Source organism: Homo sapiens, chromosome 10, assembly GCF_000001405.40.
Source record: "Homo sapiens chromosome 10, GRCh38.p14 Primary Assembly".
NCBI classification, from domain to species: Eukaryota; Metazoa; Chordata; class Mammalia; order Primates; family Hominidae; genus Homo; species Homo sapiens.
Genome location: NC_000010.11, coordinates 120831460 through 120857870, shown reverse-complemented (window position 1 = coordinate 120857870; position 26411 = coordinate 120831460). Strand labels below are relative to the sequence as shown.

At 41.9% G+C, this 26411-nt stretch overlaps 1 protein-coding gene and 1 long non-coding RNA gene across 7 annotated transcripts in view, besides 6 other annotated features; one reads left to right on the top strand and one right to left on the bottom strand.

Annotated features, from left to right (window-relative positions):
* WDR11 (WD repeat domain 11) overlaps positions 1-6509 on the bottom strand; it is a 58163-nt gene extending 51654 nt beyond the window's left edge. For 3 of the 6 annotated variants that reach the window (XR_428707.4, XR_007061973.1, NM_018117.12), the window contains exons 1-2: positions 6365-6509; positions 5236-5347 (exon numbers count right to left, since the gene is read on the bottom strand). Coding sequence is in view for 1 of the 6 variants with exons in the window: in NM_018117.12 (NP_060587.8) it covers positions 5236-5347; positions 6365-6450 (198 nt within the window). In the remaining 5 variants the exon portion in view is untranslated. Of the gene's footprint in view, positions 1-1740; positions 2120-5235; positions 5348-5869; positions 6107-6343 lie in introns of those variants that run through there. The other 3 variants (XM_005269963.3, XM_047425458.1, XM_047425459.1) reach the window with 3 other exon arrangements.
* Positions 5779-6322: an enhancer, noted in NCBI's record as "H3K27ac hESC enhancer chr10:122611061-122611604 (GRCh37/hg19 assembly coordinates)". NCBI's record gives its function as "activates a minimal SCP1, AML or CMV promoter by ChIP-STARR-seq in primed H9 embryonic stem cells {active_cell/tissue: H9 hESC(primed)}" and the evidence as "EXISTENCE:reporter gene assay evidence [ECO:0000049][PMID:30033119]".
* Positions 5779-6867: a biological region, named in NCBI's record as "H3K27ac hESC enhancers GRCh37_chr10:122610516-122611060 and GRCh37_chr10:122611061-122611604".
* Positions 6025-6084: an enhancer, noted in NCBI's record as "active region_4138". NCBI's record gives its function as "activates an Ori minimal core promoter by ATAC-STARR-seq in GM12878 lymphoblastoid cells {active_cell/tissue: GM12878}" and the evidence as "EXISTENCE:reporter gene assay evidence [ECO:0000049][PMID:35858748]".
* Positions 6095-6564: an enhancer, noted in NCBI's record as "active region_4137". NCBI's record gives its function as "activates an Ori minimal core promoter by ATAC-STARR-seq in GM12878 lymphoblastoid cells {active_cell/tissue: GM12878}" and the evidence as "EXISTENCE:reporter gene assay evidence [ECO:0000049][PMID:35858748]".
* Positions 6323-6867: an enhancer, noted in NCBI's record as "H3K27ac hESC enhancer chr10:122610516-122611060 (GRCh37/hg19 assembly coordinates)". NCBI's record gives its function as "activates a minimal SCP1, AML or CMV promoter by ChIP-STARR-seq in primed H9 embryonic stem cells {active_cell/tissue: H9 hESC(primed)}" and the evidence as "EXISTENCE:reporter gene assay evidence [ECO:0000049][PMID:30033119]".
* WDR11-DT (WDR11 divergent transcript) overlaps positions 6692-26411 on the top strand; it is an 89368-nt gene continuing 69648 nt past the window's right edge. Inside the window, exon 1 of the long non-coding RNA NR_033850.1 lies at positions 6692-7177. This is a non-coding gene — a long non-coding RNA (WDR11 divergent transcript). The remainder of the gene's footprint in view (positions 7178-26411) is intronic.
* Positions 6725-6844: an enhancer, noted in NCBI's record as "active region_4136". NCBI's record gives its function as "activates an Ori minimal core promoter by ATAC-STARR-seq in GM12878 lymphoblastoid cells {active_cell/tissue: GM12878}" and the evidence as "EXISTENCE:reporter gene assay evidence [ECO:0000049][PMID:35858748]".

Below are 26411 nucleotides of genomic sequence, written 5' to 3'. Positions count from 1 at the left end.
CATCAACTGTAAGTTCCATAGGGCACACCATGTGGTCTTTGTTTGCATTTCTATTCTCAGACTTAGTACAGTGTCCAAGGTCTGTTTAATAAGTAGATTTAAATACCACAAATCTATAAATACATATAAATGTATATACCTATATATGTGTACAGATATAAATACACTCATATATAATGCTAAGGTAGGAAAGTAAGCCAACCAATTGCAGTAGTATTCATGAAAAAGATGGAAACAACGTTTTCTGAAAATGAGCGTGAACAGGCCTTAAGGTTTTCCTGTAATAGATCTTTTGCTCAGGCAAAAATTTTTAAATGAGGTATGTGTATATATGCATATGTATGTGTGTATGCATATTTGTATGTGTATATGTTTAAGTTCATAGGTATAGAATGTGTATGAATAGAATATGTATAGTGTATATATGTGTACACAGTCCATTCTAGTTATTTATAGATTCTGTATTTGTCAATTTACCTACTCACTATAATTTGCAACCTCAAAATCAATACTTGCAGTGCTTTTGTGGACAAGTGCAGAATGGTGAAAAAAATGTCACCGAACATACATGTGTGTTCCCAGCTGAAGTCAAACAAGAATTCTTGCTTTAGCTTTTCCAATGGCAAAACAAGTGTTCATCTCATGATTTATTTAGTACCACATTTTTCACATTTTTGTTCCTTTTGCTGGTGACTTCACTGTTTAAATAGGTCCCCAAGCATACTGCCTACCGTTTCTAAGTATGAGAAGTTGTGATGTGTCTTGCAAAAAATACATACATATATATATATGTGATAATCTTTGCTCAGGCATGTGTTGTTGGCTATGAGTTCAATGTTAATAGATCAACTGACATATTAATATGTCTTTAAACGGAAACACATATAAAGCAAGGTTATCTATTGATCAGTTGATGAAAATGTTGTGACCAGAGCCTCACAAGAACCTAACCCCTAGGAGCAAACAAAGTTTCAGTATTCACTAATTCAGTGTATACAACAACTTTACAGAATATAGCTACCACAAATAACAAGAATTGACTGTCTCTATGTGTATATATATGTTTGTATATGTGTATATATTTGTATATGTATATGTTGAATTCCATTTAGGTAAACTCCAAGCCATATATATATATATTTTAATAATCAAACTATTGAAAACCAAGGTTAAGGAAATCTTGAAGATAATCGGAGGAAAAAAGATATAATGCAGAGAAACAAAAACAAAAATTTTTCATCAGAAACTATGTAAGCTTGAAGATAGTGGAGGGATTTTTTTTTTTTTTTTTTTTTGGAGACAGAGTCTTATTCTGTTGCCGAGGCTGGAGTGCAGTGGCACTATCTCAGCTCACTGCAACCTCCACCTCCCAGGTTTAAGCTGTTCTCCTGCCTCAGCCTCCCAAGTAGCTGGGATTACAGGTGTGTACCACCACGCCTGGCTAATTTTTGTATTTTTAGTAGAGATGAGGTTTTGCCTTGTTGGCCAGGCTAGTCTCAAACTCCTGACCCCAGGTGATCCATCCACCTCGGCCTCCCAGAGTGTTGGGATTACAGGTGTGAGCCACCATGCCTGGCCAATGGAATGATATTTGTAAAGTACTACTAGAAAAAAAAATTATAAACCCAGAATTCTATATCCTTTGAAAATTATCTTTCGAAAACAAAGGTGAAATACTTTCTCAGAGAAATAAAAGCTAAGAGAATCAACCAATATTAGACAGGCACTTTAAGAACTTACAGTAAATTCTTCAGTCGATGGGAATATAATACCAGACTGAAACTTGGACCTACATAAAGAAATAAAAGCTCCAGAAATGCCAAGGGGCAGTGTAGGGGAAAGGAAACAGAGAGGGAAAGAGAAGGTAAATATATTTTTCCCAAAACACCCTATACCTTACATCAGACTTGATGAAAGACTGAATACTTTCCCCCTAAGCTCAGGAACAGGACAAGAGTATCCTCTCACTACTCTCCCATTCATTGTAGTAGAGGTCCTAGCCAATGCAACATGGCAAGAAAAATAGAAGACACACAGATTATCAATGAAAACATTAAACTGCAGTCACTTGCAGTGACATGACTGTCTACTTAAAAAAAATTTACCCAAAATTACTATTAAATAGATCTACTAAGTGAAGTTAGCTAGATTACAGGATATGATCAATAAACAAAAATTAATAGTATTTTTCCCTATTTCACATCATATATAAAAATTAACTCAAAATGGATTAAAAGCTAAAGCTCTAAAATTCTAAGAAAAAAACAAAGGTATATATCTTCTTGATATTGGAGAAAGCAATGGTTTCTTGGATATGGCACAAAAAGTACAAGCAACAACAATACAAAATAATAAATTGGACTACATCAAAATGAAAAAGTTTTGTTCTTCAAAAGACACCACCAAGAAAGTAAAAAGACAACCCACAAATTGAGAGAAAATATTTGCAAATCATGTATCAATCCAAACATATGACACAAAAAAGTCTAAAAATAAACAATTCATAAATTATGCGCTTTTCTGAATAGCATGATGAAATCTCCCACTGTCCTGTTCCATCCTGCCTTAATCATAAATCATCCCTTTGTCCAGAACATCCATGCTGTATACACCACCTGCCCTCAGTAGCCATACTGATTATCAGATCAACTGTTGTGATATCTCAGTGCTATGTTCAAGTAACCCTTATTTTACTTTATAATGCCCCCAAAGTGCAAGAGTAGTAATGCTGATGTATTGTTATAATTGTTCTCCTTTATTATTATTAGTTATTGTTGTTAATCTCTTATTATGCCTAATTTATAAACTTGATCATAGGTAAGTATGTATGAGACAAAACAGTATATACAGGGTTTGGTTTATAAACTTTATCATAAGTAAGTATGTATGAGAAAAAGCACAATATATATAGGGTTCAGTACTATCCAGGGTTTCAGGCTTCCACTGGGGTCTTGGAACATTTCCCTTCTGGATAAGGGAGGACTACTGTATACAAAGAAATCTTACGACTCAATTATAAAAAGATAAATAATACAATTTTAAAATGGGCAAAGGACCTGCATAGACATTTCTCCAAAGAAGATATACAAATGGCCAATAAGCACATGAAAAGATACTCCACACCTTTAGCCATCAGGGAAATGCAAACCAAAGCCACAATGAGAATCAATTCATACCCATTAGGATGGTTATAATCAAAAGAACAGAGAACAGCAAGCGTTGGTGAGGATTTGGACAAATTAGACTCCTCATACACTACTAATGAGAATGTTAATTTGGAAAACAGTCCAGCAGTTCCTCAAAAAGTTAAACAGAGTTACCATATGAGTCAGTAATTCCACCCCTAGAAACATACTCAAGGGAAATGAAAACACAGGTTCACACAAAACTTGCACATGAATGTGCAAAGCAGCATTATTCGTAACAGGCAAAAAGTACAAAATATCCAAATGTCCATCAATAAAATAAATGTGATACATCCTTACAGTGGAATATTATTCATCAGTAACAGAGTATTGATATATGCTACAACGCAGATGAACCATGAAAACATTATCCTAAGTGAAAGAAGTCATGCACAAAAGACCACAAATTATATGATTCAATTTATATAAAATCCCCAGAATGGGCCAGTCTACAGACACAGAAAGTAGGTCAGTGGTTGCCAAAGGATGAGGGAAATGGGGGAAATGGAATATGACTGCTAGTGGATATAGGGTTTCTTTTTGAGGTAAAAAAGTTCATTGTAATTGTGGCTGCATTAACTGTGGATATACTAAAAGCCACAGAATTGTGCATTTTAAGTCAGTACATTTTATGGTATGAGTATCTCAATAAAGCTATTATTTAAAAAAGAAAAAGACTCCAAATCTCTATCTCTAATCCTGACCTATCTCCTAAAGCCCGGATCACTATAATGCAATATATTACAGGCATCTCAGATTTTGCATGTTGAAAACTTAAAAATTCACTGACTTCACAGATGCTTACCTCTGATAACTGGAAACACTGTCATTCAATTACACCAAAAGAAACCTTGGAGTCACTCTATTCTCTTACTCTCCTTTATACTGATCACTATAAAGGCTATCAGGTTTACCTCTTTGCTGCTCTTAAACATGACTTCTCCATGCCCCAGCTTTATTTTAGGCCCTTAGAATTTCCCACCAAAATTACTGCAGAAATCTCCTAAATGATCTTACTGCCTCCAGTCTTGCATTTCTTCAGCAGATCCTCCACTGCTGCCAGAGTTTTTCTAAGACGCGAATATGGTCACATCAATCTCCTACTCAAAAATCCAAATTCCTGCTGGGCGCGGTGACTCACACCTGTAATCCCAGCACTTTGGGAGGCCAAGGCGGGTGGATCACGAGGTCAGGAGCTCGAGACCATCCTGGCTAACATGGTGAAACCCGGTCTCTACTAAAAATACAAAAAATTAGCTGGGCATGGTGGTGGGTGCCTGTAGTCCCAGCTACTCAGGAGGCTGAGGCAGGAGAATGGCGTGAACCCAGGATGTGGAGCTTACAGTGAGCCGAGATCATGCCACTGCACTCCAGCCTGGGCGACAGAGTGAGATTCTGTCTAAAAAAAAAAAAAATCCAAACTCCTTCGTAATCTTACAAAACTTCAGGACAGACAGCTGAATCTCTCTGGCTGCCTCTTATTTCATCACTCCTACAAGTGTCCCATCTTTAGCCATCTTTATGGCACGCTACTTACTTCTGTGTATATTCTTGCTTTTCCCTGCAATGCTCCTTGTCAATTTTTTACTTGGCTAACTACTGTCTACTAGTCTTGAAACTGTAGACTTCTGTGACTCTCCTCACAACCAGGCAATATGCAGCTCCTCTGTTTTCTCACAGCGTGTTACGCAAGTCTCACTTATCACACTATCACGCTGTGAGTCTTCCTTATAAGATGGAGAATTATCTGAGGGCTTTCATCTCCATATCCATAGCATATGGTAAGTGCTCAAAACTAAGGAATGACTGAGTGGTCTTGTAAATGGTAGAACTTTCATCTGCCTTAAAATGATCTAACAACTAGCATTTAATAACTCACCCTGTATTGACATTAAGTCATATATATGAAAATTCTAGGCTACCCCAAATAGGTTGTTATATTTAAAAGCTATTCAACACTTACACGTAAGACTTAATGAGAGCTTAGTGATACACAGTATTAAACTTTAGACTAGACAACATGTTAGCGTCAAAGTGGGATTTTACTTACCTTTACAACATCAGCTTTATGCTTTTCTAAAACTTGAAGAGTTTGGGCAGTAATGGAATCAATCACTACCACAAGTGAATGACATCCATAAGCAATTAAACCTTGCCAGCCCCTAGCAAAACAGTAATGTTAAAGTTTAAGTACAGAACAAAGCAGGACGACTTCTTTCTTGCCAAGCCTAAATAAATGATAAGTCTAATTCATATGTACCACCATTAATAAAATCATTTAAACCCAAAGGCCAGTATTTATCATTATCCCACTTAAATAAAAGATCTGGCTAAGCTTAAAATGCTTGTTGAAATTCACTTTTCATTCGGATAAAAAAAGTTCTAAAAGATATGAAAATAGAGACCCGAGGACATAAAAAGGAACTTGTGCCCTCTGACTGTTCTTGTAGGCATACGTCTTTCGCTTATCCGATTTCTAATCCTTAGTATCCACAATGTGCCTGGGGATACTGCGACTAATCCTAGTCCTTCCAACTAAATAAAACGACAAACACTGCACAAGACGTTTCAGTCCTCCTAACAACATCCCACAGCCACAGAATTTTGCTTTACATTTGTCTAATGAGTAGTTTTCAGAGCTGCAGTAGTAATTTATAGTGAAAGGAGAGAGTAATAAAGACGACCTGTTGAAGGCAGGAATGTTCTACACAGGAGGAGCCCGAAAAGAGGTGAAAAGGACAGGTGAAAGAACAGGCGCCTAGCACAGGGTCTGGCACATTGTTGAAAGACAACAGGAATACAAGACAACGAAAAAGAAAAGACAGGATGGGAAAGAGAAAGTGCACAGGGAATTAATGGTGGAGAGAGAGAAGCCTGGAAGCTGGAGGAGAGGAAAAGAGAGAGGAATGGAACGGCAAAAGGGCGAGGTGCAGAGAAAACAGCAGAGAAATACGCGAGAAAGAGGGGAAATGTATTTGCATGGGGGAATTTCCCACACGGGGCTATTATCACTTTTGTAACAACAAAAATCCACCAACTGAAAGCAAGCTCATTGCGTGAGGGCGGCTCCCTGCCTTAGCGAGGCCAAACTAACCAGGGGGTGAAACCTCTTGTCCTTCCCCCTTCCCCCTCACACATTCCTGGCCGATCCTGGCGACCTGGAAGCTCGGCGTCCTCACCAGTCCACCGCCGCCTTGTTGTGGGCGTTGAGGGCCCCCGTGAGGGTGCGCGCCGACACCTTGAAGTTCACTGTGTAGGGCAACATCCCGGCGGCCAGCCCAGGACCTGGGCGCTGACCCGCAACCAGGAAGCGGCGGACACTGTGCTTCCGTTCCAAACAGAGTCCGGGTGGCCCCCTCGGCGCCGCTGTCAGGTTCCTCTAGATTCAAGTTCTACAGGCTCCGGGTTCCACCGCTCCCGGATTCCATCGCCCCCAGGTTCCGTTGCCTTCAGTTTCCTAGGATCCTAGGTTCCGCACTCTCCAGAGTTCCGCCGCTTAGGCGGTTGTGCTAATCTGCGTCAGCTGGGGCTGTATTTGGAAGAAGAGGCGCTGCCTCCAGTCAAGTCTGTTTTTTTCAGGTGGGGACTGTAGGCCTTTGTGCCCTGCTGGAAATCGTGAAAAGCAAGAGAGAAGAGTCCCAGTTATTCTTGCTGCCTTTGATAAGTGAATTTAGGGCAACTACTAGTGCCAGTAGGCATGGGGGATCTACCGATGAAGAAGACACAAAGTCTCCGCTCTCGTGGAGTTTACAGAGAATAATGAATGAGATTAATTAAGAAATGAATGAGATTAATTGAATGAAATTGCCAGACTGAATGAAGTGAATGGCCTGAATATAAACAATTTCCAAATACAGATAACACTGCATATCTGGTGTTTGCAATACTCCCTTCGCACTTGAGGAAGAAGCACTATGTCTGGGGCCAAGTGTGACCCTTTGTCTGTTGCTGGGTACCTTTCATTTCGCACTTTCTCCTCTGCTGCTCTCCAGGTCAGACCCAGTCCTTCCCTCCTTTGTGTTCAGTGTTGGGTTTATACGCTTTAACTATAGCACTTAATGCAATGATTTCTTTTCAGCAATGATATTTGCAGATGTGTGTTTCTCTCCCCAATACATTGTTAGTTTCATGCGCGTCCGTGTGAAGAGACCACCAAACAGGCTTTATGTGAGCAATAAAGCTGTTTATTTCACATGGGTGCAGGTGGGCTAAGTCCGAAAAGAGTCAGCGAAGGGAGATAGGGGTGGGGCTGTTTTATAGGATTTGGGAAGGTAATGGAAAATTAGTCAAAGGGGGTTGTTCTCTGGTGGGCAGGGGTGGATCTCACAAAGTACATTCTCAAGGGTGGGGAGAATTACAAAGAACCTTCTTAAGGGTGGGGGAGATTACAAAGTACATTGATCAGTTAGGGTGGGGCAGGAACAAATCACAGTGGTTGAATGTCATCAGTTAAGGCTGTTTGTACTTCTTTTGTGGATCTTCAGTTACTTTAGGCCATCTGGATGTATACATGCAAGTCACGGGATGCGATGGCCTGGCCTGGGCTCAGAGGCGTGACATTCCTGCCTTCTTATATTAATAAGACAAAACAAAATAGTGTTGAAGTGTTGAGGCGGCGAAAATTTTTGGGGGGTGGTATGGAGAGAGAATGGGTGATGTTTCTCAGGGCTGCTTCAAGTGGGATTAGGGGTGGCGTGGGAACCTACAGTGGGAGAGATTAAGCTGAAGGGAGGTCTTGTGGTAAGGGGTGATATTGTGGGGATGTAAGAAGAAACATTTGTCGTATAGAATGATTGGTGACGGCCTGGATACGGTTTTGGATGAATTGAGAAACTAAATGGAATAAGAGAAGGAGAAAAACAGGTATAAAAGGTCTAAGAATTGGGAGGACATAGGACATCTGATTAGAGAGTGCCTAAGGAGATTCAGCATAGTCCTGCCAGCAAAGATTATTTATTTACTTCAAGAGTTTAGAGTGGCAGTTTGGGGATAGCACCAGGAGATATCAGCTGTGATGGCTTGGAGAAACAGTGTAAACCGGCAGTGTAAACAAGAGCAGGGCATGTATGAGTAGTTGAGAATGGTGAATAGGAGTATGACTACAAAAGATAGGGATGACAAGTTTTTTGGGGCACAGTCTAAGTTGGTCTGGTGTCAAATGAGACTGGGGCCTAATAAAAAGGAGCGTCTATACAGGAGCTTAAATGGGATGTACCTTGTAGCATTCTGAGGACAGGCCTGAATTCTGAGAAGCGAAAGTGGTAAAAGTATTGTCCAGTCCTTTTTAAGTTGGTGGCTGAGCTTGGTGAGCTGTCTTTTTAAAAGACCTTTAGTCCGTTCTACTTTTCTTGAAGACGGAGGCCTGTAAGGGATATAAAGGTTTCACTGACACCTACTAAGAGCCTGAAAAACTGCTTGGCTGATTTGACTAATAAAGGCTGGTCTGTTATCAGACTGTATAGAGGTGGAAGGCTAAACTGAGGAATTATGTCTGACAGAAGGAAAGAAATGACTGTGGTGGCCTTCTCAGACGCTGTAGGAAAGGCCTTTACTTATTCAGTGGAAGTGTCTATTTGGACTAAGAGGTATTTTAGTTTCCTGACTCGGGCATGTTGAGTAAAGCTAATTTGCCAGTCCTGGGTGGGGGCAAATCCTCGAGCTTGATGTGTAGGGAAGGGAGGGGGCCTGAATAATCCTTGAGGAGTAGTAGAATAGCAGATGGAACACTGAGAAGTTATTTCCTTGAGGACAGATTTCCACGATGGAAAGGAAATGAGAGGTTCTGAGAGGCGGGCTAGTGGCTTGTACTATAGCATAGCCTGCCTTTGCTGGTATGTGGCGATTAGGCCTGGTGGAACTGCCATCAATAAATCAAGCGTGATCAGGGTGAGGAACAGTAAAGAAGGAAATATGGGGAAATGGGGTGAATATCAGGTAGATCAGAGAGATACAGTCATGGGGGTCAGGTGCGGTATCAGGAATAATGTGGGAGGCCAGATTGAAGTCCGGGCCAGGAACAATGGTAATTGTGGGACTTAAAGAGTGAGTACAGCTGAAGGAGCCGGGGAGCAGAAAGTATATGTGTCAGGTATGAGGAAGAAAATAGATTTTGGAAGTTATGAGAAATGTAGAGAGTGAGTTGAGCATAGTTTGTGATTTTTAGGGCCTCTAAAAGTATTAAAGCAGCGGCAGCCGCTGCACGCAGACATGAGGGCTAGGCTAAAACAGTAAGGTCAAGTTGTTTGGACAGAAAGGCTACAGGGTGCGGTCCTGGCTGTTGTGTAAGAATTCTGACCGCACTAACCATGCCTAGGAAGGAAAGGAGTTGTTGTTTTGTAAGGGATTGAGGTTTGGGAGATTAATCGGACACGATCAGCAGGGAAAGCACGTGTGTTTTTATGAGAATTATGCCGAGATAGGTAACAGATGAGGATGAAATTTGGGCTTGACTGAAGTAATGGGGGCTGTCTGTGAAGCCTTGTGGCAGTACAGCCCAGGTAATTTGCTGAGCCTAATGGGTGTCAGGGTCAGTCTAAGTGAAAGCAAAGAGAGGCTGGGATGACGGGTGCAAAGGAATAGTAAAGAAAGCATGTTTGAGATCTAGAACAGAATAACGGGTAGTAGAGGGAGGTATTGAGGATAGGAGAGTATATGGGTTTGGCACCATGGGGTGGATAGGCAAAACAATTTGGTTGATAAGGCGCAGATCCTGAACTAACCTGTAAGTCTTGTCTGGTTTTAGGACAGGTAAAATGGGGGAATGGTAAGGAGAGTTTATAGGCTTTGAAAGACCATGCTGTAGCAGGCGAGTGATAACAGGCTTTAATCCTTTTAAAGCGTGCTGTGCGATGGGATCTTGACATTGAGCGGGGTAAGGGTGATTAGGTTTTAATGAGATGGAAAGGGGTGCATGATCGGTCGCCAAGGAGGGAGTAGAGGTATCTTATACTTGTGGGTTAAGGTGGGGGGATATAAGAGGAGGACGCAAAGGAGGCTTTGGATTGGGAAGAAGGGCGGCAATGAGATGTAGCTGTAGTCCAGGAATAGTCAGGGAAGCAGATAATTTAGTTAAAGTGTCTCAGCCTAATAAGGGAACTGGGCAGGTGGGGATAACTAAAAAGGAGTGCTTAAAGGAGTATTGTCTAAGTTGGCACCAGAGTTGGGGAGTTTTAAGAGGTTTAGAAGCCTGGCTGTCAATACCCCCAACAGTTATGGAGGCAAGGGAAACAGGCCCTTGAATAGAAGGTAATGTGGAGTGGGTAGCCTCCATATTGATTAAGAAGGGGACGGACTTACCTTCCACTGTGAGAGTTACCCAAACCTCGGCGTCCGTGATGGTCTACGGGGCTTCCGAGGCGATCGGGCAGCATCAGTCTTCAGCCGCTAAGCCGAGAAGGAGTCAGTCAGAGAGCCTTGGGCCAGAGTTCCAGGGGCTCTGGGAGTGGCTGCCAGGTGAGTTGAACAGTCCAATTTCCAGTGGGGTCCCGCACAGATGGGACACGGCTTAGGAGGAATCCTGGGCTGCAGGCATTCCTTGGCCTGGTGGTCAGATTTCTGGCACTTGTAGCAAGCTCCTGGGGGAGGAGGTTCTGGAGGAATGCCTGGCCACTGCAGTTCAGGCGTTTGGAAGTTCTGTGTGCTGGAGATGCGGCTGGGGTTTGTCTCACAGTGGAGGCAAGGAATTGCAACTTTTTTCTATTATTGTACACCTTGAAGCCGAGGTTAATTAAATCCTGTTGTGGGGTTTGAGGGCCGGAATTTAATTTTTGGAGTTTTATTTAATGTCGGGAGCAGATTGGGTAATAAAATGTATATTGAGAATAAGATGGCCTTTTGACCTTTTAGGGTCTAGGGCTGTAAAGCGTCTCAGGGTTGCTGCTGAACGAGCCATGAACTGGGCTGGGTTTTTATATTTGATGAAAAAGCCTAAACGCTGTCTGATTTGGGATAAAGAAAAAGGAGCATTAACCTTGACTATGCCTTTAGCTCCAGCCACGTTTTTAAGAATAAATTGCTGGGCAGGTGGGGGAGGGCTAGTCACAGAATGAAACTGTAAGCCGGACCAGGTGTGAGGAGGGGAGGCGATAAAAAGATTACAGGGTGGAGGAGTGGAGGCTGAGGAAGAATTGGGACCTAGCTTGGGCTGGCGAGGAGGGGAGAGGTCAGATGGGTCTGTAGAAAAGGAGGATTAGAAAGACTCAGCGACGCTTGGGGTTGGGACTGAGGGGACAGGCTGGAGGGAAAGAAGGAAGATTTGGGACGAGTTGCACTGGGCACAGAGACTAGGAAGGGACTGATGTGTAAAAGAATGCCTGGACGTCAGGCACCTCAGACCATTTGCCCATTTTACGACAAGAATTATTTAGATCTTGTAGGATGGAAAAATTGAAAGTGCCATTTTCCGGCTATTTGGAACTACTGTCGAGTTTGTATTGGGGTCAAGCGGCATTGTAGAAGAAAATAAAGCATTTAGGTTTTAGGTCAGGTGTGAGTTGAAGAGGTTTTAAGTTTTTGAGAACACAGGCTAAGGGACAAGAAGGAGGAATGGAAGGTGGAAGCTTACCCATAGTGAAGGAGGCAAGCCCAGAAAAAAGAGTAGAGACACGGAGAAGGGGTGGGGAGTTCTTGCCCTCCAGAAAAGCAGAGAAGGGGTTGGGGCACAGAAATAAGAGGTCAGGGTGCGGAAATAAGGGATTGGGGCGCAGAGATAAGAGGTTGGGGTGCAGAAATAAGCAATTGGGGGGTTCTTGCCCCCTAGGAAAGCGGGACTTGCCGCTAAGGGTGAAGGAGAAGGGGTTGAGGGGTACTTGCCCCTGCCCCAGGAAAGCGGGACTTGCCGCTAAGGGTGAAGGACCAAGGCAGGCGTCCCTGCATTGTCTGACACCCTTGAAACGTGGGTATGTAATCAGAGAGGCGTCCCTGCAATGATTAAACACCAAGGGAAGGCTGCCTTCCCAGTCTGTGACTGGCGCCGGAGTTTTGGGTCCACGGATAAAACGTGTCTCTTTTGTCTCTATCAGAAAATGAATTGAAATTAAGAGAAGGGAGAGATTGAAGTGTAGCGCCAAGATTGAAAGGAGAAAGCGGTTGAGGGATAGTGAGGGAGGTTGGAGAAGAGAGTAAAAAGATGCTGCTTACTGGATTTGAAATTGGTGAGATGTTTCTTGGGCTGGTCGGTCTGAGGACCTGAGGTTGTAGGTGGATCTTTCTCACGGAGCAAAGAGCAGGAGGACGGGATTGATCTCCCAAGGGAGGTCCCCCGATCCGAGTCATGGCACCAAATTCCATGTGCGTCGGTGTGAAGAGACCACCAAACAGGCTTTGTGTGAGCAATAAAGCTGTTTATTTCACATGGGTGCAGGTGGGCTAAGTCCGAAAAGAGAGTCAGCGAAGGGAGATAGGGGTGGGGCCGTTTTATAGGATTTGGGAAGGTAATGGAAAATTACAGTCAAAGGGGGTTGTTCTCTGGTGGGTAGGGGTGGATCTCACAAAGTACATTCTCAAGGGTGGGGAGAATTACAAAGAACCTTCTTAAGGGTGGGGGAGACTACAAAGTACCTTCTTAAGGGTGGGGGAGATTACAAAGTACATTGATCAGTTAGAGTGGGGCAGGAACAAATCACAATGGTGGAATGTCATCAGTTAAGGCTGTTTTTACTTCTTTTGTGGATCTTCAGTTACTTTAGGCCATCTGGATGTATACGTGCAAGTCACAGGGGATGCGATGGCCTGGCCTGGGCTCAGAGGCCTGACAGTTAGCTCCTTGATCAACAAAAGGGACAACATATTGGTGATTTTTCATCACAGGTTTTTGTGTCTAGCTTACCATTCTTGTAAAACAGCTTTCTCAAAGGTCACCTCATATCCTCTTAGTTGTTCAAACCAATGATCATGTTTTGGCTTTTAGTTGATCATGTTTTGCTGCAGCTTCCCTCCCCTTCCCTTGTTGTCTTACCTTTCCTTACCCCACACCCTAACCTACTGATGCTTTGGGGGCCACCAGATGTGCCCAAAACCACACATCTAAATTTATCACTCTCTTATTAAAAATCTTTGATGCCTCCCATGAGAAGATTGCTAATTGACTCCCCAAATTCATTCTCTCCTTTTTTTCTTAGGGATAGAACTTGAGTTTATATCTAGGCACCTTGTCCCTCCATTAAATGAGTACATTCCCCCAACTCCCTTTACAACTAGACCCAGCCATGAGACTAAATTTCTGGCCAATAAATGAAAATGGAAGTGTTGCATAGTGACCTCTGAGAAGTCACTTTGCTGTTCTGAGCAATTTCAATAGTTACACCTTACATTATTATTATCTTCAGATATATCTGTCTCAAAGGGGAGGCCAACACATTTTTAAGTAATCATAATATAGGAAAAATTATATATACCATAGTAGACTTAGAGTTCCTCTCATAAAGGAACAAAATCCTAGTCTTCCTTTTGCCCCAATGTCTGGCACCTTTCCTGGCATACAGTTGGTCTTCAACAAATGATTGATGGTGCAGGAGTTCCAAATGCCCACTGAGCATAAGGTCAAACAGGCACAAGGTGACAATCAGGCATCAGCGCAGTAGCTCACAGATGGGGGCAGGCAGCAGGTAACCAGCCCTCTCATCCCCCTGGTAAGAAAAAGCCTCTTGGAGAAAAAGAGATTAATTAGTTTAAATCTGTAAGCTACCTTGAAGATAATGGATGTTGGATATTTAGGCAAGGACAGGCTGGGTTTGGGACAGTAATGTATCTCCCATAATACAAGAGTGTGTAATTAAGTATGTTAATGGATTTTATGTCCTTCTCTGAAGCATCTGTCTTGGCCAGAGTGGAAGACAGAATATTGGACACACTGGACAATTGATCTCTTTAATAGGACAGAACTTATGCTCCTCTTTTATGCCTCAAAAGCTACCATTTCGCCCCATGCCTGATGACATAAACTCCAAAGCCTGGTAATGCGCACTCAGGGCATCCTGCCACTGCTAAATCATTTGCATCCCTAAACTAGGACAACTTTTTTACCCTCTTCTTTTGAAGTCAGTAGAGATAAATGCATGCGAACTTCTGATTCCTATTTTGATTTGGTGGTGGAAACACAAGAAATGGAAGAAGACAGAAATAATATGTAACAGAATAAATGACTTACTTCATAAGTAAACTTTCCAAGTTCACGTAGGTGATGAAGTCAGTAGCTTCCTTTTAAGCACTTGCAAGTTGAATACTGTGATAAACCTTTTACCTGCATCATCTCATTTCATCTGCACAAAGTCACAAAGACTATATTATGACAAATATTTTCACAAGTTCACAGAGTTGCCCAAGTTTATACAGACAATAAAAGGCAGAGCCAGCGTTGGAACCCAGGGGAGTCTGATTCTGAAACGCATGCCTTTAACCACATTGCCTTCCATGTCATGTACTCCACAGCCCAGTTAGAAGAAACTCCAGCTGCCTGGGAAGCGTGAGATTTAAAAAAAAACAACAGCTTCACTAAGACATAATTCACATACCATACAATTCATCCATCTAATATGTATAATTTGCTGTGTTTTGGTATATTCACAGAGTTTAGCAACCATCACCATAATCAATTTCAGGACATTTTATCACTTCTAAAAGAAACCCTGTACCCATTAGCAGTTGCTCACCATTTCCCCTACTTGCCATCCCTCAACTCTAGCAACTGCTCATCTACTTTCTGTCCATATACATTTGCCTGTTCTGGACAGTTCATATGAAGGGAACCATAAAGCATGTAGTATTTTATGCCTGGCTTCTTCCGCTTACCATAACATTTTCAAAATTTGTCCATGTTGTATCATCTATCAGTACTTTATTCCTTTTCACTGCTGAGTAATATTTCATTATATGGATATACCATCTTTTATTTATTCAGTCATCAGCTGATAGGCATTTGGTTTGTTTCTGCTTTCTAGCTATTTCAAATGTGTTGCTATGGACATTCCTGTACATATTTTTTGTGTGAATATATGTTTTCAATTCTCTTGGGTATATACCTAGTAGTACAATTGCTGGCTCATATAAAAACTCTATATTTAACTTTTTGAGGAAACTGCCAGACTGTTTTCCAGAGACTGCACCGTATTGCATTTCTGTTAGCAGTGTGTAAGTATTCCAATCTCTCCAAATCCTGGCCAACACTCATTATTATCTGTCTTCTTTATAATAGCCATCCTGGTGGGTGTGAAGTAGTTCTCGTTGTAGTTTTGATATGCATTCTTCTGATGGCTAATGATGCTGAGCATCTTTTCAAGTGCTTATTGGCCATTTATATCTTCTTTGAATAAATATTCAGATCCTTTGCTTATTTTTATATTGAGGTATCTGTCTTTTCACTATTGAGTTATAAGAGTTCTTCATATATTCTAGAAACAGTCTCTTTTTTTCTTTTTCTTTCTTTTTTTTTTTTTTTAAGACAAGGTCTCACTGTCACCCAGGCTGGAGTGCAGTGGTGTGATCATAGCTCACTGTAGCCTCACACTCCTGGGCTCAAAGGATCCTTCTGCCTCAGCATCCTGAGTAGCTGGGATTACAGGCAGGAGCCATAGTGCCTGTTTGAGTCTCTTGTCAGATATATAATTTGCCAAAATGTTCTCACATTCTGTAGGTGGCAGCATGGACTTTGAGCCACTTAGCTGAGCAACACATTCCCAGTGAGGCAAAGGGCTGTGGTCAAGGTCTTATTTCCAAAACCAAGCACTGGCCTGGATGTGGTCTGATTGTGGTCTGATTGTGGAAAGCAAAGGGAAAACAACTCTGACAATGAGAATTGTGTATCTAAGCACAAGGTGCATTACTCCCAGGAAAAATTGGATGAGTCAAAGGGAAAATTTTCTTTTATATATGTTTCATTATTTGTGTAGCTTTTATTTGCATTTCTGTTTTATTTTATGTGAAATGGCAAGATAATGAGCAACTTGAGGCACACTGGTGACAGTCCTACATGGTATCTTCTAGCACCACGGGCTTCTCTGTGCACAAGTCCATAAAATCCATGCATTCTGTGTGTTTCTTTAAAGGCTTTCAAATGCCCTTCTATTGCTAATGCCAGATATCATTTGTTGAGCATTTAACCATGTGCTAGGAGATGAGCTAAGGACTTTCTATGTGAGCTAAGCCTGTTTCACTTCTTAACCCCTCACACTGGATTTTATTCTAGCGCTGGAGAGTCATGGAAGGTTAGCATTAGTAACAGGAGGGTGTTTGTTGGGACTTTGGGCAGATTACTTGACCTCATTAAGCCTCCTTTTCTCCTTCTGTTATTTGTGGGGAGGAGAGTAACTATTCCTGGATGATGAAAAACACTAAATTAGATAACATATTAAAAGAGCTCAAAACAGCACCTAGCTTCCTATAGTACCTTATTATTTGCTGACAGTGCTGGAGCATGAATCTAGCCTCCTATTTTCTTTCTTTCTTTTTTGAGACAGGGTCTCACTCTGTCACCCAGGCTGGAGTGCATTGGCATGGTCTTGGCTCACTACAACCTCTGCCTCCTGGGTTCAAGTGATTCTCGTGTCTCAGCCTCCTGAGTAGCTGGGATTACAGGCATGAGCCACGAAGCCTATTTTTTCGTATTTTTGGTAGAGACAGGTTTCACCATGTTGGCCAGGCCAGTCTCAATCTCCTGGCCTCAAGTGATCAGCCCGCCTCGGCCTCTCAAAGTGCTAGAATTACAGGTGTGAGCCACTCTGCCCGGCTGAGGCCTCCTATTTTCAATAACAACACTAACCCATCTAAGCTATACCATCTTGAATCTGAAGAGCGATATTTATATTTTCTCTTTAAGGAGTGGCTTGCAGGAGAAGAAATAATAAGGATTTGGGTAAAGATGGAGTTGAATTTGCTGCATGAGTCACCAGGACACCACAACTGCAGCCAGTTTTCTCTTTTTAAAAAAAGTTGCTGTATTATTCTTTATGTTTCCAAAGAGTAGGATGAGATTGTCCTGAGGCACTTTCAGGATAGGTGAGGGCTCTATGAACCCCTGCTTTGGCTGTTGCTGGTACCCAGGCCTCTCAATTCAGTCGGTCCACACTCAAGGCTGTTTTAGGGCAGACTTTGTTTTTTTTTGTTGTTGTTGTTGTTTTTCTGAGATGGAGTCTCGCTCTGTCGCCCAGGCTGGAGTGTGGTGGCGTGAACTCTGCTCACTGCAAGCTCCACCTCCCGGGTTCGCGCCATTCTCCTGCCTCAGCCTCCCGAGTAGCTGGGACTACAGGTGCCCACCACCACGCCCGGCTAATTTTTTGTATTTTTAGTAGAGACTGGGTTTCACCGTGTTAGTTAGGATGGTCTCCATCTCCTGACCTCGTGATCCGCCCGCCTTGGCCTCCCAAAGTGCTGGGATTACAGATGTGAGCCACCGCGCCCGAGGGCAGACTTTGATTTACAGGTTGGTCTTACTCTAAGTGAAAATGCAAGTATGACACACAGAGATTCAAAAAACCAGTGGTAAATAGTCTTAGACTAGCTCTAGAACTAAAACAAGAGCTTTAGGGGGTCATAACATGAATGCATCATGCAGCATTTGGAAAATTACTGCTGAGATTGACCTAGAGGAGGGGTTAACTCCACTCTTTTTAAAGGATCAGGCTGTCTTCACACTCAGTGAAAGACTCAGCTGTTTGAGCTGCCAGGCGTGCCCCACCCAGTGCTCTCCAAGAGCTGTGGGCCAGGACGACCACTCTGCAAGTCACAGACGCTTACTTAGGCAGATGCTGCTCAGGGCTTGCCTCTGGTGACTGCAGGAGTTAAGTTTTAAAGGAGGGGGGCTACAACTTGTGTACCTTTCAGTATGATGTTGCCTCCAGTTTCCTCCTGGTTTGACCTGCACCGAGCCTCCCTTTCCAGTCCTGGTCTCGACTCAGAACTCTTTCCTAGTGCTTGGCTGTTCCAACTCCCACCAACTCTAGCATCAAAATGTGCCAAGACCTTTACTGCATTTGTTAGATTATTTTCCTTATAACATTGGTACTTTAAATCAGCTAATCCTGTATTATTTAACCCAAAGCATTTGAATTTCCAGCGAACCTTATTTTGTCAGCCTTATTTTGGGTATCACCAACCCCATTTTGTAAATGAAGGAACTCAGCCTTAGAAAGATTAAGTGACTTGCTCACGATCACATAGCTAGCTGAGGACAGAAACGAACCTTGGCCAGGTTTTCTCACTTCCAAGCCAGGGCTCTGTCCAGGATATAAAGCTGCTTCATGTGAGATTTAGGAGTGTTTGTGACGTTCTCATGGGGGTTGAATAGGGACCAGGAGTGCATACTTTGCACAGCAAGACATTTTAAAGAAACATCACCCAGTAACATGGAAGACAAAGTCACCAGCAGAGTGGGTGACTGGCTGAGTAGGGAGAGCACTAAACTGACAGCTCAGATCCGGCATCGACTTTTCTCCTTAAACACGTTCCACTCACTCCTTACTTTGTTGTGGATAATCATCAGTCCTATGTATTATTTGACTACCTTCATTATTAATCTCTTTTTATGTCTCTACATATTATGGGTGATAATCACAGTACAATGGATTAGTCACTGCACTTTATGACATGGTGATTAAGGTTTTTTAGACTGTAGCATGTTTCTGAGAAGAGCAGTCATGATAAAATGCATTTATCCTGAGCAGGCTGTGTTGGGGATATGCTCTTCTAACACCCTTGGTACAAGGAGAGGCAGCTGGGTATTGCTGGAAACAGTGAGGGCTTTGCAGTTTTAGGCAGATAGACAGACAGGAGTCCTACCCTATCTCTGCCACCTCCTAGCTCTGTAACTTTAGGAAAGTTTAGAGGATAAAAATAATACATAATGGTACTTCATAATCATTAAATGAAGTCATATAGGTAAGGTACCAAGATTAAGTCACTAATTGTTACATTGTAGTTAATATAATGTAGAGGGAGAAACACCAGGTGAGGCGCTAGGTGATTTGGGTGCCAGACCCAGGGGGTCCATCACTTGCTGTGTGCTCTTAGAAAAGCAACCTTGCCTTGCTGAGCTTCAATTTCCTCACCTGAACAATGGAGCTAATAGTAACCCACCTGGGAAAGTTGTTGTGATGATTAAATGAGGTCACATATGTAACAGAGGCAGGGGGCAGGCGCTCAGTCAGTGCTTTTACTGTGGTCATGAGGACAGAGCCCAGCCCTGAACTCCAGGTCATTTTGCTAAACCTCTGGCCTGCTCTCTGTATGAGGCCTGAGCCCTGCTCCCTCAGCCATGAGTGGATCCCAGCATGTCTCATTCCTGGGACTACATAGATTCTGTCAATGTGTGTTTTTCCAGTGATTGGCTGTTTTTAAAGAAAAAATGAGCTACAGGACTTTCTTATTTGATTTCTTCATCAGAGTTTTGTTAGTCCAAATAAACAATGTCTGAACATTGTGCTCATGGAAGAGCATTTCATACATTACATTAAACTAACAAGGTTGTGTCTGGTGTGTGATCATGATTTCTGGAGGAAAAAATAATTCTATTGATTTATCATTCTTAACAAGCTGAACCTTGGTGGAAATAGTTTGTGAGATGCTTTAACAAGTTTAAGGATTTCATAATTTTAGCTGGTCTTTCTCAGAATCCTCCAATTGTTGCAATTAAAAATAAATGCCAGTTTACCACTGTTTCTTTGGATCTCTGAGTATCATACTTGTGTTTCTACTCAGGATAATATTAACTTGTAAATCAGAGTCTTCTCTAAAACAGCCTTGAGTGTTGATGTGGTTTGGGTGTTTGTCCCCTCCAAATCTCTTGTTGAAATGTGATCCTCAGTGTTGGGGGAGAGGCCAGGTGGGAAGTGTTTGGATCGTGGGGGTGGATCCTTTGTGAATGGCTTGGTGCTCTCCCGGTGGTCATGAGTTCTCCTTCTATTAGTTCAGGGGAGAGCTGGTTGTTTAAAAATCCTGCCACCTCCTCCCTTTTGTCTCTTACTCCCCTTCTCTTACTCCCCCTCTCGCCATGTGACACACTGCTCTCCTTCACCTTCTGCCATGATTGTAAGTTCCTGAGGCTCTCACCAAAAGCCAAGCAGACATTGGTGCCATGCTTGTATATGGCACTGCAGAACTACGAGCCAAAAGACACCTCTTTGTAAATTACCCAGTCTCAGGTATTCCTTTGTGGCAACACAAATGGACTGATACAAGTGTGGACAGACTGAACTGAGAAGCCTGGATGCCAGCACTGGACAGAGCAAGGGCTCATGGCATTCTAACCTATAATGGAAGTGCCTCAGGACAATCTCATCCTACTCTTTTGAAACATAAACAATAATATAATAACTTTTTTTAAAAAAAGAGAAAAATGCATCCATAATCTTCATTTGCTAATGTGATTATTTTTATATTTACACATTTCCCCCTAGTTCTTGTCCAAATGATAAATTTTACATATTTACATAATATGCACATATCTTGTTAATTTTTTTCTTCGAACAGTCTATCATAATCATATTTATAATCTTTATGTAATCATCATAATTACCATTTGAATGATTTTATCATATTTGTTAGAGTGCATATACAATACTCATTTAGGTCTTCCACTATGACCTAACATTTAAGTTACTTCCAATTTTATAATAATAAAGTTAGAGTAGGCATCTGTATACTTCTGGTTGGTTTAATTATTTCCTCAAGATAATTCGCAGAAGTAAGTAGAACTATTTTTTTACTTTTAAAAATGTCTATATTTAAGAATAAATACTTGTTGAAAATACAGGTCTCAGAAATGCATAAACACAAAAATTAATTATATTATCACTAGCAAGAATGTCTTCTTTTGACCGTCTTCCTTTAAAATGTATGTATGTATTATTTTTATGAAATTGAGGTCATTATATAAAGTACTATTTTTACTCTTCTCTTTCCATTCAATAATTGGATACAAGCATTTGCAATATTTTCCTAATTTATCATGTCTTTTATTTTCTGAATTTTTTGACATACAGAAATTTAACATTTTTAATGGAATTAAGTATACTGACCTTTCATTTAGCGTGTCCTTCATTGCCTGAATGCCAGACTGTCCTTTAACAATATAGTGTTCTATATTTGCAATAACACGTCTGACTATAGGCCAAAATAAATAAATAAATAAACTTTATCTGAAGTTTCAGGTGTTTCCAAATCTGGAGCCAGGTTTGGAAGGTGCTGAAGGCATTATCCCTCTTTCCCCCTCACCCTGCTCCACTCTCTGGCCTGCAGGGAGCCTGGGCTTCCCAGCCTTACCTTGCCTTCACTGGTCCCTGGGTACCATGACGTAGCTCAGCAGGTGGGAGGCTGGGTGCAGGTGGCTGGAGACAGCGACCAGACCCACATATCTTTCTCAAGATAAACATAGCTGGGTGGTTGCAGAACAAGCCAATTACTGAGAATTTGGCTCCTACCTTTGAAGGATGGTCTTTTGAGGAGGACCTGTAATACCCAGGGGTTTCCAGTCAAATTAATTAGATAAGTCATAGCTGGCTTTGCTTTGTGCCAAGTTCCTCACATTTTTTTTTCATTTGCATGGATAGTTTCAATAGAAAGTAGAGAAGGAAAACAGTAATTAACCCTCCTCATGGCAGAATATAGTGGTTATAAAAATTAATTCTCTGTAGGAATCAGGCTTAAATTTCACTTACATTTTTAAAAGGGAAAAACCACTAGAATTCTTGCATAATTGTAGAAAGGGACATCCTATTCTTCTAAAACACAGAGCTGGGTGCAGTAAAATTTTCTTTCATTTCTAAAAGTCACAAGGGCTCCCAATGGCCTCGTGGGAAATGGTGCTCTACCCCTACCCCATCCATCTTCATTCAAGTTTGCACATATTCATGGGGCATCTGTTAAGTCTAGCACTGCAGGCCCAACTGTAGTACATGTACTAATCAACAGTTGGCGGGGATATGGCAGTGCAGTCAGCACATGTGGAGACAGGCTTCAGGGGGCTCACATTCAACCAGCACAATGCTGCTTTTCTCCCATTGCTGGGTCCCTGTTGATACTGCTTCTTTTGCCTGGAACATCCTTTTGTCTTTCTTTGACACTTTTCCTCCATGAAAACCCAGAGGTCTTTCTAGAATCTCCAGATTTTGAGGCTTAATACCACTAGTTTTAATGCTGTCATATTCTTTCTTTTAAAAAAGTACATTTTCCTTATTTTTCTGACTTTAGTATGTATTCATGAATGAAATGTTGGTAAATTTTCAAAAATGTATCATGGAGCAGGATGCAGTGGCTCACGCCTGTAATCCCAACAATTTGGGAGGATGAGGTTGGGAGGATTGCTTGAGCTCAGTAGTTTGAGACGAGCCTAGGCAACATAGCAAGACTTAATCTCTACTAAAAAGAAAAAAAAAAAAAACATTGCCAGGCATGGTGGTAAGCACCTGTAGTCCTAGCTACTCAGGAGGCTGAGGCGGGAGGATCACCTGAGCTCAGGAGTTCGAGGACTGCAGTGAGCTATGATTGTGCCACTGCACTCCAGCCTGTGTGACAAAGGGAACTCTATCTCAAAAAAAAAGAAAAAGTACCATTGAAATATTAGTAACAACAAAAATGTATAGAAGAAAAAAATAACTATTAATCTTATCTAAAGGTAACTATTATATTTCTATCATTTTAAATGTATCTTTTCATCTGCCTGTTCCCTTCTTTAGACCTCCTGGGGACACATATTCATGTCTTATTTATCTTGTGCCCTCTGGCTCTGTGACTGTCTTACATAGTAGGCACACTATACATGTTTGTTGAACTGAACCAGATTAATTAACTTAAATGCTTTTATTGCTACAAAAGAAGAAAGAGAAAAAAATCACCATATTAATAATTTTAGTGGGATGTTAGAAAAGAAACAAATTTCTCCTGCCAAGTAGAGGGATGTAATGAAGGCAAAAGAAGTTGAGTATAAAAAGAAAGTATAGTTAATAAATCAAATCACTCTGTTGAAAACTGCTACAATAAATTGATTACCCTTTGGCAAATCTTTTTAAAAAACAGTTAAATAAATGAACATTATTAGAAATATGAAGATGTTACAGCAATGAAAACACAAAATTTTTAAAGTACCATGCATACTTGTATATTATAAATTTGAAAGTCTAAATAAAATGAGTGATTTTTCCAACAAATACAAATTGCTATCACAATAATTTTTTTAAAAACATATGAAAAAACCAATAACTAAAGAGGAGTGAATAAAAGGAATACACCTGCCCTCCTCCTCGTTGCCCACTGTTTACTTGGTTTACTTTACAGGTGCATTCTTTTACTGTCAAGAAACTGATTAGGGCCAGGTGCGGTGGCTCGCGCCTATAATCTCAGCACTTTGGGAGGCCAAAGCGGGTGGATCACTTGAGGTCAGAAGTTCGAGACCAGCCTGGCCAACATGGCAAAACACCGTCTCTACTAATAATACAAAAATTAGCCGGGCACAGTGGTACACACCTATAATCCCAGCTAATCGGGAGGCTGAGGCAGGAGAATCGCTTGAACCCAGGAGGCAGATGTTGCAGTGAGCCAACATTGCACCACTGCACTCCAGCCTGGGTGAGAAGGCAAGATTCTGTCTAAAAAAAAGAAAAAAGAAAAGAAAAAAAATCTGATTAAATACCATTATCTAGAAAGCAGTGTAAAACCTCTGGCCAAAAGATAGTGTATTTATAAATGTTTTGAGTTACAAACAACAGAAACTACTCTGGTTAATATAACCAGAAAAAAAGATTCATTGTAAGAGGGTTTAGAAGCTAGTACACTCAATGGGAAGACTGGAAAACTAGGTTTGAGCAGGAGTGAAAAGGAGGTGAGGCATGACCGATTGAAACTGCACTGGGAATATGCTCAAGATCCCACTGCTCCCAGCTGGACACTCACTGCTGCTGGCCTTGCTGCCCCTGAACATCCTGCTCCTCCCTCCTGTAAGACTCACCCCTGCATCACTGAACTCTTTAATCCACAGCAGCCAACACACACACACACACACACACACACACACACGCACGCACACGCCTCTGACTGCCTCACTCCTTTGAGTTCAAAGTCCCAGACAGAAGCATCTGCTTGGCTGTGCTAGGTCATGAGCTTGACATTCTCACAACATAGAAAATATGTCTGGATTCTCTGTGTGAAAAATGAGAAATATCTACCATGGTCTGTTCATTTGGGGGCTCATGTATGCTTCTTCCTATATTTATGCTTCTAAATATCACTCCTGCCTAGCAGTTTTATTACCTCTCATGACTCAAGATGCAGTAGTCTGCTCTCCTAGGAGAGCCTCACCGAAACCCCACTAGTTATTGGATTGAGTCATATGAAATTGTCATTTTTATAGGTCAGAAAATGGTTGAATATCATCATTTTCATATGGTTCAACCTAACAGTACACCTTGCTCCAATTTATTTAATCTAGCAAAACGCAAGGTTGTGGATGGGATAATGGGGCTCCTTAGCCCAGTGCCTCCTAGGGACACTTTTTTCACAATGAAGGAAGTTTCTAGAACAGAAGGGATGCTGTGTGGGCTACCATGATGTATCCAGTAAGTCATGGAGGATGGTGCTGGCAAAAGCGTCATGGGCAGAAGCAACACATCTAAGTCCAGGTAAGAGGGCCTATTCCAGTGAGGGAAAAGCTCTGCCCTTCCATGGTGAAAAGCACCTGGTATGACCAAGCTACTGCCAGATTATTACACCATATTGGGGTTTTAGGTTTGGTTGTCGCTGCCATCAAATTGTACAGTCCCATGGCACTGCCAAGGCGATCTTTAGAGAGAAGTCCATGTTGTGGAGCCCACGCACAGCCTCTGCTTCATGAGCAAGCTCTGCGCTGGCCAAGGAAGAGGGCTGACTGACATCTGCACAGTGGCTACCTTTTGAGGGGAAATCTCATGAGTCACAAATATTCTCAAAGTCTGAGTCCAGGCACAGAGATCTATCCATGTATCTCTCCCCTGAGCCTCCTTGTGATACCATCTCAATATCCATTAACAGAATGAGTAAACTACATTTTCTCCTGTACGCTAGCAAGAAACAGCCTTCAACACAGAACAAGGGAGCCCCAGATGAAAGTGGAATTGAACTTTTATTAACTAGCACATGCTATGTCTCCTTCTCTCATTCTTCTGCCTAATTCTCCTATCAGTCTTTCAGAACTTGCCTGAAGAAACATTTCCTCCAGGAAGTTTTCTTTGATGCCTGTTGTAGGTTGTGTTTCTCTGAGGCAGGTGCTAAGATGGGGTTTGGTATGCCAAGTACCAAAAGGCTGGTCTCACTCCCACTGTGCCCCTGCAACAGCACCGAGTTTATTTCCGGGCAGCCAGTGAACAGGGCTGAAAACTTGCCGCGGGCTATAAGCCTCCCAGCTGAGACGGCAAGCCCACTCACAGTTCCTCAGCTGTCCCGTGGAGCCTGCAGCAGCATTCCACCTCCCTCAAAGCATTTGTGGATTCTCTCAGCTTTCCTGGTATGTTCCTGCGGTAGTTCTTGGAGCAAAAGTTCACGATGTGAGTCTCCACATGCTGCTCTGTCCGTCTCAGTGAGAGCTGCAAGTTAGTCCTGCCTCCTATCTGCCATTTTGACCCCCCCCCAGTTGACTTTTATCTATAGGCTTTGACAACATTAAGGACACACTTGCTCAAAGAGGTCTCCCATCGTTTGGAAGTCAAGCCCCCTCACCTGCCATTTTCTCTCCGTAACTCATCACTACTGGCACTTTAGTGTAAGTTTGTTTATCTCTTCATCATGCACCTCTTTGCTGAGTGTCTCTCCACTTCAATTATAAGAGAACCTGTCTCTTGTATTCATGGATATTCTCCAGGGACTAGGTCAGTGATAGGCACATTATAGGTGTTCAACAAATGTTTGTTAAATGGATGAATAAATGAAATTCTAAGCTCCTTGCAAACAGAAACCTGTCTCAGGCATCTTTGTATCTCTAATCTCCAGTAGGCAACCATGATTTTGTTGAATTCATTATATGAGCATTTGTCTCTACTATTATGTTACCCTTGAAATTCAGCTTCTGTTGCAACAAGCTCTTACCTCAGGGAAAAACAGGGAGTTCCTAAGTGCTACTGTCCATATATACATTTTTTTCAAATATTCATTTAATTTTTTTTGTTTCTGAGATGGAGTCTCACTCTGTCTCCTAGGCTGGAGGCAGTGGCATAATCTAGGCTCACTGCAGGCTCTGCCTCCCGGGTTCAAGTGATTCTCCTACCTCAGCCTCCC